A 14,858-nucleotide genomic window follows, 5' to 3' on the forward strand; every position below is an offset into this window, starting at 1 on the left:
GCCTCCTGAGTAGGTGGGATTATAGGCATCCACCGCCACGCCTGGCTAATTTTGTATTTTTAGTAGAGACGGAGTTTCTCCATGTTGGTCAGGCTGGTCTCCAACTCCCGACCTCAGGTGATCTGCCCTCCTTGGCCTCCCAAAGTGCTGGGATTACAGGTGTGAGCCACCACAGCTGGCCTATCTTTATGTTTATTATAACGTAATTTCTATCATCAGTACTTATATAATAGAAGACTTCCTTAGGGTAAAACATACAAGTAAAACTCAGTCATTTAAGGCTGAGCTCAGTTGTCATCCCTGTGTGGTAGCAGTACGTTTTCAGAAACTTCGTCGTATCATAGCATGGATAGGAGGGTGAGGAGTTCAGGGCTGTCATTTCTCTTAAACCAGCTTCTGCTGAGACTTTGTGTAGTCCCTGGGTGTGGTTGTCCCTCCCTGCTGACATCTGAAGTGTCTGAATTTCCCCTTAGTCTGTAATAATGAGGTCCTTGTGGGGTCCCTTCATTAAGACCCTGAATCCCCTTCAAATCCACTTGGTTTTAGTAGTGGAATGGAAGAGGGAATGGGTTCGGATTGTCAAAGAGTAAGTTATAATTTAGCTGTTTTACCCCATTACACTTGAGATAACATTGCTTTTCTCCAATTCCTACTTCTCCTTTGAATACTTTCTGTATCATTTGAATATACGGACACCTCTTCTTCATCTCACCTCCTTAATTCTCTGTGTCTAGACTGTACCAGATGGTGAATTTTATTGATTACACTTATACTAACATTGCTGTTTAGCTTACTAATTTGTTTTTCTTACATCCCCCAACTAGTTTGAAAGCTCGTGGAATCTCTAGACCAGAAATTAAACTTCTTGATGCCCTTCGCAGTGCTTAGCATATGACTGAGTGCACAGGCAGTTCTTAGTAAGTGTTGGCTGGATGAATAAATGAATGAATTTAAACTTTCTAAGTGTAGAGAATAAATCTAATATTTTTTTCTATATCCCCTATGATGTTTGACATAGTGTTAAACACTAAGCAGTCATAAACTATTTACTTAATTGAATTGAATTGAGAGCCATTTTATATTACTAGTTCTACATGTATTTCAAGTGTCTAACGAAGCCTCGAAAAACCAAGTCTGCTGCAGACTGCTCATTGGAAAATATTTTAAGCTATTGATTAAAATTGACTGGGAGAATTTTATACAATAGAGGAAATAAGTGTGATTACATACATGGCATGTCAGAGACAGGAAACAATACAAGACCAGAAGAATTTAAAATCCTGCTAATATTATTTGAAATGTATATTGTTTAAGTGGATATAAGCAAACAGTAGGCAGATGAATCTACTTCACTTCTCTGAAGGTATGGGAGAAAAAATGAACTAAGAAGATGATTTTCTTGAATTTATCTTTTGGTAGGGTTTTAGTGACTTTCTGTACTTGGGTTCATACAACAAATTTTTATCAAGCAACAACTATGGATAAATAATGCTTTCGACAGTTTTCAGAGATAACTTGAAAAAAGATGTCTCTTATTTCCAAGAATGTGTAGTCCTTGATGAAGGCAGGATGAACAGAAAGTACTGTGTGCAAAATGGCATTAATCAGAAGGCTCAGTGAGTTCCTTTGACATCACTGAGTAATATGATTGCTTATTCAGGCTGAAGGATTTGAGGAAGACTACACAAGAGAAATGGTATTTCATTGGATCTGGAATGATTACCAAGACTTTAAAGGGTGAAGAAAGGATGAAGAGAATTTCAGGAAAAGGGCATGTATAGAGGGTTAATATTTAAAAATAACATGTATGGGATCTGCTGATGTGCTCAGTTTGATTGCAGCATGTGGTACGGAGTGTGTGGTTGGGTGGTGTCTGATGTGGATTTGGCTAGGTTGTAGGGGCATTCATTTAGAGGCCAGTTTGGATTTATTGTAGTAGTTTATCAAGGTTTATGCCCTTCATTTCTCAAAAATTCTTTTTAGCCATCATATGGGAATAGTTAAGTGTGAATCTTCACTTTTTTTCTTCCTCTCTTGTCTGTTATAAAAGTAATATTTGAGCTGGGCCTGGTGACAGCCCATGCCTACAGAGACCAGCCTGGTTAAAAGAGTGAGACCTGGTCTCTACAAAAAACAAAAACAAAACAAAACATTTAGCCAGGTATGGTAGTGCATGCCTGTAGTCCTAGCTTTGAGAGGCTGAGGTGGGAGAATGGCTTGAGCCCAGGTGTTTGAAGTTGCAATGAGCTAATGATTGTACCACTGTACTCCAGCCTGGGTGACAGAGACCCAGAGTGATTATATATATATATATATTATATATATATATAATCTGTCTATATTATATCTATATTATATATAGATATATATAATATCTATATATCTATATATCTCTCTATATATTATATGTATTATCTATATATCTATATTATATATAGATAAATAATATATATATTTATGTTAAGTAATATTTGGTCATTGTTGGAAATATACAAGTATATAGAAAAAAATTAAGGCATTCATAATCTCACCACCCTCATCCCCAAAATAGCTCCTATTATCATTTATATATATGTATGAATATATATATCCTGTTCTTTTTAAAAGATATGTAATTTTCTTTTTAAACATTTTCTGTTTTTATGAATTCCTTTTTGTTTTAATCTCTGAAGAATTTAGACATATTTATTACAAAGTCCTTTTTGTGATTCCCAGTTTGGAAGTCTCTTACTTTCATGCTGATGGATTCTTACAGTTCGTAATTTTTGTCTGTGTAAGTTTTGTCTTAAGAGCACTATCTTCAGCTGGAGTCCAGTGTGTACTCTGGGTGGTGGCGGTCTTCCTACAGAGCACTTCTGCTTTTGCCTTTGTGAGATCCTTATGGTTTCGTTGGTTTCTTGGGTTCTGGGTTTCTTTAGGGGAGATGGTGTGAATTCAGGCTCCCCCTGACACCTAGGGCAGCTTTGGGGTTCAGATTTCTCCTGGGTGCCTTTTTGTTTTTTTCTATCTGTAGTATGTGTTAAGTATACCACTTTACAGACAGGACTGCCTCTTCCCAGTTTTGGCCTTTCTTTTCTACTTCTAACTTTCTGCTGTGTTCAGGATCTGAGGGTCTCACTCCCTTGAGTTGTGAGTGTTGCCCTACTCTTATGCAGCTTCCCACTTCATATCTGGCTCTGGAGGTTTCTTTTGCTTGCTCTAGATCATGTATCTATTGAAAATATTTAAAGATTTGTATTTTATTAAACATTTCTACATGTTTCCCTTGTCACCTCTGTCTAACCTGTCTTTTTTTCTTTGCACAGGTGTATACTTTAAACAAAGTTGGGAATATACTATACTTACTGATAATCTCCTTTTTGGAAACCTGATAGTATATGGTGAATTTTTTTCCATATTCTTTGAGAACATGATTTTTAATTACTATCTGATATTCCTTTTATTGGGAGATTTACCATATATTATTAAATAAATTCTCTATTTTTTAGAAGTTTAGGTTGTTTTCATTTTCCATTATTTTAAGTAAAAATGAAGTAAAGATCTATACCAAAATTTCTCTGCTCATTTTGGAATACTTCTGTAGAATAATTCCTACAAATGGAATTGTTTCATCAACATTTTTGAAGAAAGCCTTGTTAATTTGAGGCTTTTGAATCCATTGCTGCTAAATTGTGCTACAAAGTTTGTTCCAGTTTTCACCCCATCAGTGTGGTCTGTCAGTCTGTGCCCCATATGGCAGGGTCTCTGTTTCCCAGAACATATTATCCGATTATTATCCCTTTAAAAGTATGGTTAATTTTCTGAGCAAAACAATGGTATTAATATTTCATTGTTATTTTAATTTTCATTTAGCTTAATGGCCATTTAAAAATATAGTTTGAATAGATCTGTGATATTTTCAGCTTTGCAGCCTCGACCTCCTGGGAGCTCAAGTGATCCTCCCACCTCACCCCTCCAAGTAGCTGAGACTACAGGGAAGCACCATCACACTGGGCTAATTTTAGTATTTTTTGTAGAGACAGGGTTTTGCCAGGTTGCCCAGGCTGGTCTTGAACTCCTGGGCTCAGGTGATCTGCCTACCCCACCACCATCCTTCACCCAGTCCATTTCCCACCCAGGATTATAGGCATGAGCCTGTTCCCAGCCTTCTTTTGTTATTTGCTGTCTTCCTATTGCCTCCCAAAAGAGTTGGATCTTTAGGTGGAAGTTGTATTTGTTAAGGGCAATGATGGGTGAGAGAGGTTGCAAATTGTAGAAGCTGAGGAAAGAATTAAATTCCTTAACATAAGAAAAGCTGTTGAGATGGAGGTTGAGGGAACAAGGCCTTGGAGAAGGGGAGACTGGAGCCCAGAAAGGAAGGGCCAGGAGTTGTGTCAGGGTAGAGAGTTTTAGAGTGATCAGAGAGGAGGTGGCTCTCTTGCAGAGAAGAGCTTTGGAGAAAGATAGAACAGTTAAAGGAAATTTTGCAGTTTTGCCCAGTGGTGTGTAAAGTAAATTTTTCTTCTTGATTTCTCCACAAAGTCTTAAGCAAGATATTTCTTGTTAAATGCATTGCCAGGTTGGCTGTATTTGATAGGAATGCATTGAAGCTGTGGTTATGGCCTATGATGGGCATCAGATAAGAGCCAAATACTGGATGGAGAAAGGTCGAGCAGAAATGTACCTCCTGAAGTAGCCCTGGTAAGACTGAAGCAAGGCTACGCTCACTGATGACAAAAGGAGTCCAGTTTTTCCTCTTATATAAGTTCTGGGGTCCTAGTATACATCAAAGAATGGAGAGGGATCTACATAACAACTAGCATTGGTCTTCTAATACTGAGTATGCGTAGAGCTAACTTTGATTTAGTTTAGGAAAATAAGGAACATAATCTGGGAGTTATAGAATATATTAGTTGAATTCTCTTTAAAACTATCAACAGCTAAGATCTCCTACAGTAGTTCTGCTCTTGTTAATTTCTTCATTTCATTTTTTTTTTTTTTTTTTTTTGAAATGGAGTTTCGCTCTTGTCACCCAGGCTGGAGTGCAGTGGCATGATTTTGGCTCACTGCAACCTCCACCTGCTGGGTTCAAGCGATTCTCCTGCCTCAGCCTCCCAAGTTGCTGGGATTACAGGTATGTACCACCACGCCCAGCTAATTTTGTATTCTAGTAGAGATGGGATTTCACCATGTTGGCCAGGCTGGTCTCGAACTCCTGACCTTAGGTGATCCTCCCGCCTCAGTCTCCCAAAGTGTTGGGATTACAGGTGTGAGCCACTGCATCTGACCTCTTCTTTTATTTCTAAAGTTATACAACCCATGGCATATAAACATTAATGCCTATTATGTCTTAATTTTGGCTTGAACCTCTTAGGCCTGTAAAATGACAGTGGTTTTCTTTGGTAGGTTTTTTGTTTTTTGTTTTTTTTTGAGACAGGGTCTCACTCTGTCGCCCAAGCTGGAGTGCAGTGATATGATCATGGCTCACTGCAGCCTCGACTTCCCAGGCTCAAGGGATTCTCCTACCTCAGCCTCCTGAGTAACTAAGACCACAGGTGCATGTCACCACGCCTGGCTAATTTATTTTTATTTTTCATAGAGATGGGGTCTCTCTGTGTTGTCCAGGCTCGTCTCAAACTCCTGGGCTCAAGCGATACTCCTGCCTTGGCCTCCCAAAGTGCTGGGATTATAGGCGTGAGCCACGGTGCCTGACTTCTTTAGTAGTTTTTTATTTAAAGTCCTCTTTTGATGCGCATACTCTTACTCAGCATTGTCAATGACTTGTTCTGGAATGTGAAGCATATAATTTTACCCCTCAATCTAAATGCTGTTTTTCTTAATTGTGGAGTGAGGAGTGTTGACGGGACTTTATAACTGTTAGAAATCATTAAACTTGAGTGTCGTGATTCATTTATGAGGGTAACGTCATCTAATAATGAGGTAATGGATGTGGAACTGCTTTGGAAAGTATAAAATGCTTGATGAAGTGCAGTTATCAATTTTTCTAATGCCAAGATACTAGTGAGAAACAATTTCCAGAGTTGGTAGTGGGCACCACTTTACTCCTCCAGAAGCAAAAGGTATAATTACTTCATAGTTCTCTGGCAAATATCTGGTTTCCCTAAGGGGCATTCATCTTTTGCGAGTAGGAAAAACTCTAACCTATTTGGTGGAATCCTTCCAAACTCTAACCCGTTTGATAGAATCATTCAGTGGTGGCATTCAGACTATTAAAATAATTATAAAACATAGATTTATTAATTAGTTGTATTCTTTAAGTAAATTGTGTTAATAATTTGATAGTTAATTATTTGTTATGGCATTCTTTGTGATTGATATTTTTCAGTACCTTTTCAAATCCATAAACTATCAAAACTTAGGATTTTAGGAAATACTTCTATGAATCCTTGAAAAAACATGCATGTATAAGACAATTCCTTCTTTTGTCTTTTAATAGGGAAGGCCAGCGTTGGATTGTGTAGGTTGCAAAATGCAGTACCTCAGACTTGCAACTCTGAAAAGCACTGTTTGAAATCTCTGTAAAGAGTGAAAAACTTCAAGTTTTAACCAATGAGTGTTTTAGAGGTTAAAGTTTAAACTCTGACTTGGAAGCACGCTGGGTAGGACTCCTCTGCTCACTCAGACTCAAGTTGGATCATCAGAATCTCTCTTGTGTTGCTGTGAATGATTTGCATTGAAATTCCCAGCTAGAACTGGAGGAAAGAGGATTACAAACCAGGAGGTAATACCTGGGTTATTCCAGAGCACTTGGAAATGACTCACAGCTTCCTGCTCTCTGACAGTTCTTTAGTGTTGGTCTTGAGGCATTCATTCTGAATGAGATATTTGTCATTATGGGGAGTTACAGTCTGAGCATAATCTCTAATGTATAATTTCCTGTTACTAAATAATACATAGAAAATAGGAACAAGGTACTTTTTCAGAGGAAAAAAATATGATTTAAAAATTTGTGTCATTTTCACAAAGCTTATTTAAATCTTTTAATCCATTCCCTGAGTATCATAAGACAGGTCACATTCTGCCCACACTTCACCCTGGCAGTTCTGTACCGACAAGTCAGGTTCTAGGGCAGCTTCTAACAGGAGAAGGTCTTAGGGGGTACAACATAAGATGTAGGCATGGAAGGGGCTTGATGGAGACCACCAATATGAAGGTATTATATAATTAAGGATCTGGACTTAGCAGACTCCTTGGGTTCAGAGCCCAGCTCTGCCACTTATGTGAAGCTTTTGGTCTCAATTTCTTTAATTCTAAAGTGCGAACTGTAATAATATCAACCACAGAGAGTTGCTGTGAAGATTCGATGAGTCAATACATGTAGTACTTAGAACAGTGCTTGGCCTATAGTGAACGCCCATGAATGCCTGTTATTAAAGGGGTAAGGGAAGTCTCACTTGCTGTGTGTGGACTGCCACTGTGTATGAGGCATGAGTGCTGTCTTTTGTGTTTTTTGGATAGGGAGCTAGGGGGAGATTTTATGAGCCATGTTTATAGAACCTTCATGTGTTTTTGATTGGATGCAATGAGTTCAGGTCAGGAGAAGATTCTTAGGACGGCATGCTTGCATTTGCTTAGGATTCAGATTTAAAACTTCATCTTTGCTTCATGCAAATAAAAAGACTACAGAAGGCAAATGAGTATAGGAAAAAGTTTCTCCATAGCTTTAGGTCTTGTCTTCCTGATATCCCTTTACTACAGGCATGGGCATGTTGCTGAAGCTCTGCCAATCACACAACATCCTGGGAACTAGACTGTCATCCTCAGATAGCAGCAGAGGCATCTGGAGACAGTGCTGCAAAGCAGCACATCATAGTTCTTACTGTGGAGCTCTGTGGAGCTGTCTGGCGCCTGTTCTTTGGGAGTCTATTTCTTCAGCTCTCTCTTGATTCTTTGAGTCAATGCCCTGAATCTAGTTCATTCCTTTTTTGATAAATGTTACCAGAATCAGGTTTGTTTGTTGCTTATAGTGAAAATACCTTAATTGGTACAAATAGCAAGTAGGAAGATTAAATCTTTCCACTGTCAGTAGGTAAGGCAACACAGATGAAGCTAAGAGTCCTGGAAGTCATAGAAAATTCCTTCTTAGAAAGCATGGCTTGGAGGGAGTGAGAATATCCCTTCTTTTCTAAGGTACATAAGAAGAAATGCATTTTTGACCTATTCGGGTGGAAAAAGGGAGAGTCCTTAAGTTGGCCAATGTTGGCCTGCTCTAAATACAAGGTGTAGCATGTAGGTGTGTTTGGAGATGGGAGTGGTGATTTTTCATGTGCCAGATATGCAAATTACCAATAGTCAAAAAGACTAACGGAAAATTAAAGGCTTTCAGAGAAGTGACATTTTTTGAATAGAATCATCACCATCATTGCCACTGAGAAATTAAAAGTGATGTTGTTAACTAAAATCTATATTGTATTGCATCAACTTATCACCTTAGGAGTTTCTTTAGGATAATGGTGTATCATATTTCTTCTATACTTAAAAATTACAAGGTGATAAGTTGCTATAATACAATATAAATAGTCAAGAACTCCATTTGTCAGATTATGAGTGGTCTGTTGGGAAGACCAGTAAGGTTTTTCTCCCTTAGCTGGGGTTTGCATCTTTTGTAGTCTGCCTGTTCATTTTTCTTTTTCTTTTTCTTTTCTTTTTTTTTTTTTTCTTGAGACGGAGTCTCGCACTGTTGCCCTGGCTGGAGTGCAACGGCACAATGTTGGCTCACTGCAACCTCTGCCTCCCGGGTTCATGCGATTCTTCTGCCTCAGCCTCCCAAGTAGCTGGGATTACAGGTGCACACCACCATACCCGGCTAATTTTTTGTATTTTTAGTAGAGACGGGGTTTCGTTATGTTGACCAGACTGGTCTCGAACTCCTGACCTCATGCCTGTTCATTTTTCAATTCATTTTTTCAGCCAATTGGTACCTATTCTAGAAAGCCTTCCTTGAATCTTCTAGTCAGATGATTCTTTCTTTCCTACTTATTTCATTCTAGACTGTACAGGGGTTCTAGTTCATTTTGAGAGCTGACTCTCTAGTAGGGGCTGTGTGGAGGACTGTGTTGAAAAGGGATCCTGAACCACTCAAGGCTCAGTGAGAAAGAACTGCAATTGGTGAGGGATGTCTGCAGTGGATAAGGGAGTCATGTGTTTGCCATTGCTGTCATCTTTGGTTCATTGACTCCCTTACTAAGTTGTAAACTCTTTGAGTCAGGTCTGTGTGTGAGTCACCATTTGATTGCCTCCAACACTTGGCACAACACCTAGCACCTTAGATGTTCTCAATAAATCTGTTCTGAAATGAAATGAGGGCAATGAAGGAAAAAATTCATGGTGGAATTTGAGCTTTGCTTTGAGTGGGGGTAAAGAACGGCTGTGAGAGAATAGAGTTTCTAGGGACAGGAAATGGCATGAAGGAAAGTTGTAGAACAATACGGAAGAGGCCTCAGGAGAAAGAGGAGGCCTTTTTCAGGATGTAGTGGGAAATCAAGATTGTTGAAAGGTTTGGAGTCTATAGGTAAAGGTTTAACTAAAATTGTTGCGGCTGTGATCTCATGAAGGAAATTGAAGTATAGTTTAATGGAACAAACTAAAAAAGACGAGAAAATTCAGTTGCGGGAGGCATCAGTTTTTGGAATATTTTCCTCCTCCAGGATTTGAAAATAGAGAATTGGGCAGCTTGTGTGATTATGAGTAGCAATATAGTGACATTATTATGGTCAACTGGAACTTCAAAACAATAATAAAAGCAACAAATAGATTTGATAAAGAAGCTCTCATTTCTAATGTTCCTACATAAGGTTTATTTCAGGCCAATTTTTTTGAGAAGCTGTACCTATGTTAGATATCTGACCATATATAAAAATGCCTGTACAAAAATGAATGGAGAGTTTTTAATTTCTTCAGCTTCATTCACTCCTGAATTGTCTGCCATACATCCTTCTTGTTCCCTTTGTGCTTTGAAAGCACATTATCATGCCACACAGCAAACTATAGTGTGGGTCTTACTGAGACCTGGGTCAGGCACCACTTTGGAAATCTAACTAACTTAAAGGGACTTGCCACTCAGTGTACCTGTTTTTGGTAGGATGTTGGATAAATCTGCAAACATCTTGGACATATATATATTTTTTACTCTCAGATACTAAGTAAATTGCTTTTTTCTCTTTACATGCAATACTTTAGAAGTTTCCTGATTTTAACGATTTATTGACTTTGTATGTCATTGCAGCTAGATTGCCCTGCCTTGCCTCATGTCAGAAAGACCTGCCCATTTCTCATAATATATTACTACTCACTTTGTCAGCTTTAGCTGAAGGTGAATTAAAAGTTAATAGGTACACAGGCTTGGTGGTACACGCCTGTAGTCCCAGCTACTCGGGAGGCTGAGGTGGATCATCTGAGCCCTGGAGTTCCAGGCTGCAGTGAACCATGATCATGATACTGCACTCCAGTTTGGGTAACAGAGTGAGACCCTATGTCAAAAAAAAAAAAAAAAAAGGCCAGGCATGGTGGCTCACGCCTGTAATCCCAGCACTTTGGGAGGCTGAGAAGGATGGATCACCTGAGGTCAGGAGTTCGAGACCAGCCATGACCAACATGATGAAACCCCATCTCTACTAAAAATACAAAAAATTAGCCAGGCATGGTGGCTCATGCCTGAAATCTCAGCTACTAGGGAGGCTGTGGCAGGAGAATTGCTTGAGCCTGGGAGATGGAGCTTGCAGTGAGCTGAGATCGCACCACTGAACTCCAGTCTGGGCAACAGAGCGAGACTCTGTCTCAAAAAAAAAAAAAGTGAATAGGAAGAATTTTTCTGAATGAAGGGAAAGGGAAGAAAAGGTACAAAGCAGTCATAGGTCTAGGTCTAGAGACCCTTAGGCTATGAATATAATCTTTAATACTGCTGATCAATGTGGGAGCAACTATAAACTGACTTCTGTGGTTCACTGATGCACTGAGTTTCTGGGATTAGGTGAGGTGGTGGTAAAATACAAATTATGACCAAAGTAGTGCCTATTATCTAGATATAAACTTACTTGGAAAGTATAATTATAGTTAATTTTCTTTCCCAATTCAGAATGCCCAAATATTCTCCATCCTTTGAGGAAGTGACTTGCCTCCCATTTTCTTCATGTAGATTGTTTGTTTTTGTCTCTATATATTCGTTTAGACACTTGTTGCTCAAAGCAATAGAAACCCAGTTTAAATGGCTTTTAATAAATTGTTTTGAGTAACCACCAAAAGAAAGAAAAAAACCACAGTGGGATTCAGGACTCTGAATTCATGACTACCCTGCCAGAATGTGTCTTGTCTTTACTGTTTGTTTTCTGCAGTGTTGGTTTTGGCTTCTTCTTCTTTTTTTTTTTTTTTTTTTTTTTTTGAGACTGAGTCTCGCTCTGTCACCCAAGCTGGAGAGCAGTGGTGTGATCTCACCTCACTGCAACCTCTGCCTCTCAGGTTCAAATGATTCTTGTGCCTCAGCCTCCTGAGTTGCTGGGACTACAGGTGCCTACCCCCATGCCCGGCTAATCTTTGTCTGGTTTTGGCTTCTTCTTAGCCTTGTGTTCTCTCTTTGTTGGAGGCATGATGGCTGCAGCTGCTCTGACCTCTACTTCCTCTCTGATTCAGGGGATCATGTGGGGATTCTCATTATATAACGCTTTACAAAAGCCTTGTTACGTCTTGTTGGCTCCAGCTGGATTTTATGCCTATTCATAAAGCAAAATCACTGTGGCTGGGGAATATGATGTGCTGCGTGGCTTGGACCTGGAACCTCAGCCAAAAATGGCATGGATGTATCATTACAGGGGGAACATCAGAACTAAAGTTAGGACTGTTGCCAGAAGAAGGGAAATAGTTTCTGAAGGAGAAAATAAAACATGTTGAGGAAATTACACTCGAAGTGTTAATACAGACATTATAATGATGGGGACTTGGGTAATACTCATGTGTTGAATTTTCCCAGAGAGCCAGAGAAGGCCTAAAGTGGCAGTAGGGGTAGGGGACAGTAGATGGGATATAAATACTAAATGAGAAGAAAAAGATCCTGGGATGCTAGGCAGGCCCAGTTGCCTGAGCTGGGAAAGTCTCTGTGGTTAATAGGCTTGTGACCTGCTGGCCCCTCATCTTTCAGAGGAGGTGACAATTGGAAATGCCCCTTATTGGGTTCAGGAATATGATGAGTGGTATAAAACTGAGGTTGGGTTTTGACAAATTTAGAGAGCAAATGTTTTCTTCTGGCCCTCAGTGAGCTAATTTGACAGAAGCATTTCTTTTTCTTTTTTCTTTTCTCTTTTCTTTACTTTTAAGAGATGGAGACAGGGCCGGGCACAGTGGCTAACGCATGTAATCCCAGCATTTTGGGAGCCCGAGGCAGGTGGATCACCTGAAGTTAGGAGTTCGAGACCAGCCTGGCCAACATGATGAAACCCCGTCTCTACTAAAAATATACAAAAATTAGCTGGGCATGGTGATGTGCACCTGTAATCTCAGCTTCTTTGGAGACTGAGGCAGGAGAATCACATGAACCCAGGAGGCAGAGGTTGTAGTGAGCCAAAATTGTGCCATTGCACTCCGGCCTGGATGACAAGAAAGGAACTCTGTCTCAAAAAAAAAAAAAAAAAAAAAAAAACCCAAAAAACAAAGAGATGGAGACAAGGGGGGTCTCACTGTCTTGCTCAGGCTGGATTCGAACTCCTAGCTTCAAGCAATCCTCCCACCTCAGCCTTTTGAGTAGCTGGGACTCCAGGCACGTGCCACTGTGCCCAGCTGATGGGAGTGTTTCTAAAGAAACACACAGCATTTCCATCAAGGCTCCCTGGGAGGCCAATGAATGAACAGAATCAAGAATGTGAGGAACCAAACTTAATAGACTGAAGGACTCATCTGGCACACACAGTGCTTTATAATAATTCAAATTGTTTGCCAAAGCTTAAAAATCAAATTTCACATAAAAATATTGATCTCTGACTTTCTTTGAAAAATCAGAAGATCTGGCAACCCTGGGCCTCATTTCTCTTGGCAACAGTCCACAGGAGTTCAGCAGTGGCTGCTCCTTGTCAGAGCCCTTCCAATCCCCTACCAGGCCTGAATCACACTTCTGACTTCCTGCCTGGCCCTTGTAGGCTTAGAGACATGGATGGGATTTCCAGGGGGTAGGCATTATGGACACATTAAGGAAGGGGTAAAGGTTGGGGAGTCAAATGGGGAGGGGCCTCTGTCTTCATCCAGGACTTCAGGAACCAGCAAGAATGTTCATGGCTGTAGATTGGAAGTCTTGCTGAGCTTGGGGCCGTGGGGCATCATTGTTCAGCAGGTCCTCAGAAGAACTGATTCCCACTTCGTAGATTCTAATTTCCTCAGCTTACAGGTTATCTATATTCACCCAATGTTGGATTTAGAGAAGACTTAAGGCTTTAGGAAAGTACTGGGGACTAAGTCATTCCCTTTCTTTCACCCCTACAAATAGTTCCAGTCAGTCTTCTATTGCTACTTTTTATTGTGCATTGGTCAGTAAATCCTACTTTGCACCTTTTATATATACTTTTAATCTAGTTTCCTATTTTCCAGCTAAGAAAACTTACTAACCTTGGCTCTACCAACAAAGAGGCAAAGATTTTTGTGCCCCTTGGACAAGCTGCAGTGAGGGAGCAGTGCCTGTGTCCTCGGAGGCATGGCAAATCCATTAGCGCATCTATCTGAGTGGAGCCGAGGGCACAGAGTAGGAGGCGGGGGAACCAAGGTGAGGCACGTTTCACATTGTCCCTCTTTGCCTAGGCCATCCCTTCAATATGTACTTCCTCACTGATCACTTGAAGTGTTTGGGTTTCAAAACTGAATAGCACCTGTTTGGTGTTAGCCATGGATAATGGGGAGAACTCTGGGATAAAGGCCTTGTGAGAAGAGGCTACGTTGTTGTTGGTTTTTGTTTGTTTGCTTGTTTGTTTTTGGCATGCTGATTTAACCATTCAGTAAGCAAGTCTAACTCTGCACGCTCATTCATTCAGTTGCACAAGTCAAATAACATTTGAACCTCTGTGTTTGAGTGACCAAATCCCATGTGTTAAAAAGTAAAGTCAGAGCTGTGGTGCCAGCAGCTTTGATTTCAGTATGTTGTCTTTCCTTGGGAAAGTTATTTCTTCTAAGTCCTTCTGTACAGCCAATTTTTGGGTCCGCGTCCATATTTTTCTTCACCAAATACTTGCTGAGTCATTGCATGTTTTTACATTGTTATTCTGGTAACTGCCGCCCCTGACTTGCACTTAGGTTTAATGAAGAAAGGATAATTTTGCTGCAACGTGAATCTCTCTCATACCAAATGCTTTTCCAAGAGCTTGTTTCTGTTTTCTTCACGTCTTTGGTCTTTGTCTTTCTCTTATTCTTGTTTTCTTTTAAACGCATGCACGTGAGTATGTGTGTACATATGCATATTCTTACCCACCCCTTTTAGCCTTCTCACATCACCATTCTATATGATACAATTGTCTTGGTTACAATTAGGTCAGAAACTTTTTTTTTTTTTTTTGAGATGGTCTGGCTCTGTTGCCCAGGCTGGAGTGCAGTGGTGTGATCTCGGCTCACTGCAACCCACACCTCCCGTGCTCAAGCGATCCTCCCACCTCACCCTCCAGAATGGCTGGGACTACAGGCTCAAGCCACCACGGCCGGCTAATTTTTGTATTTTTTTTAGTAGAGATGGGGTTTCACCATGTTGCCCAAGCTGGTCTCCATCTCCTGAGCTCAAGCGATCTGCCCACCTTGACATCCCAAAGTGCTGGGATTACACGTGTGAGCCACCATGCCTGGCCCTAGCTCAGAAACTTCTAACCCAAAGCCATATATGATATATGCTGAATAACTCC

At 40.2% G+C, this 14,858-nt stretch overlaps 1 protein-coding gene and 1 long non-coding RNA gene across 16 annotated transcripts in view; one reads left to right on the forward strand and one right to left on the reverse strand.

Moving 5' to 3' along the window:
- Window positions 1-14,858, reverse strand: part of PLS1-AS1 (PLS1 antisense RNA 1) — a 60,902-nt gene that overhangs the window by 42,951 nt on the left and 3,093 nt on the right. The window lies entirely within an intron of this gene.
- Window positions 1-14,858, forward strand: part of PLS1 (plastin 1) — a 117,272-nt gene that overhangs the window by 42,467 nt on the left and 59,947 nt on the right. For 5 of the 15 annotated variants that reach the window (XM_047448323.1, XM_011512901.2, XM_047448321.1 and 2 more), the window contains one exon: window positions 6,437-6,721. The exons of 4 other annotated variants lie outside the window; for them this stretch is intronic. The gene's annotated coding sequence lies outside the window, so the exon portion shown is untranslated. Of the gene's footprint in view, window positions 1-824; window positions 918-4,558; window positions 4,681-6,436; window positions 6,722-13,566; window positions 13,739-14,858 lie in introns of all 15 variants that reach the window. 6 more of the 15 variants (XM_047448326.1, XM_047448327.1, XM_047448324.1 and 3 more) reach the window with 5 other exon arrangements.

This window comes from Homo sapiens, chromosome 3, assembly GCF_000001405.40.
Source record: "Homo sapiens chromosome 3, GRCh38.p14 Primary Assembly".
Classification (NCBI taxonomy): domain Eukaryota; kingdom Metazoa; phylum Chordata; class Mammalia; order Primates; family Hominidae; genus Homo; species Homo sapiens.